The sequence below is a fragment of the Homo sapiens genome, chromosome 9 (assembly GCF_000001405.40).
Source record: "Homo sapiens chromosome 9, GRCh38.p14 Primary Assembly".
Taxonomy (NCBI): domain Eukaryota; kingdom Metazoa; phylum Chordata; class Mammalia; order Primates; family Hominidae; genus Homo; species Homo sapiens.
The window spans coordinates 90,175,189-90,176,868 of record NC_000009.12 but is presented as its reverse complement, the minus strand read 5'-3'; the positions used below and the strand labels follow the sequence as shown (position 1 = coordinate 90,176,868).

The window sequence follows — 1,680 nt, the reverse complement described above, 5'->3', positions numbered from 1 at the left end:
TCCCAATGTTGCAGGTGGGACCTACTGAGAAGTGTTTGGGTCATGGGCTGGATCCCTCATGAATGGCTTGGTGCCATCCTCATGGTAATGATTCTTGCTGTATTCGCTCTTGCAAGAGCTGATGGTTAAAAAGAGCCTGACACCTCCCACCATCCCCTCTTGCCTTTTCTTTCATGTGATCTGCACGCTGGCTCCTCTTCACCTTTCACCATGAGTAGAAGCTTCCTGAAGCTCTCAACAGAAGTAGATGCCAGTGCCATGCTCCTTGTACAGCTTACACAACTGTAAGCCAAATAAACCTCTTTTCTTTGTAAATTACCCAGCCTCAGATACCCCTTTATGGCAACACAAACGGACTAAGACAGATGAAGCTACTTTCCTCACACATAAAAAATAATACGTTTGTTTTTTGAATAGCCTTTCTTTGAAGAAAGGTGAGCATACCATATACTTTTGTAACTCATAAATGTTTTACATTTAATTATAGCTCAGTTTATTAAATCAAAATAAACTAAGTCAAATAAGATATAAACAGAAAACATTGCAGATTCTTTTTATGTGAACAAAACTTCAAATAAGTTACCTGTGCTTGGGTTTTCCACAAGACTGACAAGATTGCACTTAGTCAAATGCAGGAGTTCAGTCCCATTCCTGGGTGCTTCCCCGAACCAGCCCACACTGGCCTCAACAACAGAACATACGCTGAATACACATCACACACGACTGTGCCAGAGAATGAGCAGGTAGCTGTGGCAAAGCAGACCAGCACTCATAACTGCTCATGGGACCAATGCAACCTCTAGAGAGAACAGCTTCTCACATCCTCCTCACCTGCAAGGGACGCCCACATTCACCACCCACCACATGACCAGAAAACCCCCAAGCCAATCTTAGGAGACTAACAGCAGAATCTGCCCCCAGCTACATGATCTGGATTTTGAGTTACATTTTTCTAAAAAGAAAAGCCAAGCTATACTGATGGTTTCAGGTTCTATTTATTTTCATGGGAGCATCTCCAAGGCAACAAACTATTGGTTGCACCCAATTTATAAATCGTATTTTAATATCTCATTGGAGAATTAAGCTTATACACACTCTGCGTTTGTCCTTAAAATCCTGGAAAGAGAATAGAGCGGGAAGGTGGAGGCAGAATACAAGCAGAAAAATTGTTAAGAGAGAGAGAACACAGTCTTAATCTCTTGCCAATGAGGCCTCACATTCCAGAAGAGCTTCAGCCACAAGCCTGACTGGTCCTGAGGAGTATTTCCCCCACTCAAGGCAAGGTTTCTTTCCTTTCTAAGCCTGGGATTCTGAGCCCAGAGTCTCTGCACTGTTTACCCACCCACACTCATCCGCCCCTACCCACCAGACCCACCCATCTCCCCAACCCCCAGATACTCCCAACTCCCACCCTCCAGATACACGCAATCCCTACCTTCCAAGGCTCATCCAACCCCAACCTTCAGGCACAGCAACCCCATCCCCCAACCCAAGGGCAGATGGTTGAAGTAAGATTGAGGGATGATTAGTGTAGGTATCATTGAATAAGCAATGCAGAGCGGTGGGAAGTTTGCTGCCCCATCCTCCTACTTGTGGTTAGAAAAAACAGGGCATGTGGAAGGAGCTGGAGCTGAGTTGGGGACACTGCCAGGGTCAGCAGAGAGAGACAGCAGCAAGGAG

At 45.5% G+C, this 1,680-nt stretch overlaps 1 annotated feature.

Moving 5' to 3' along the window:
• Nucleotides 807–866: a silencer, noted in NCBI's record as "silent region_20020". NCBI's record gives its function as "represses an Ori minimal core promoter by ATAC-STARR-seq in GM12878 lymphoblastoid cells {active_cell/tissue: GM12878}" and the evidence as "EXISTENCE:reporter gene assay evidence [ECO:0000049][PMID:35858748]".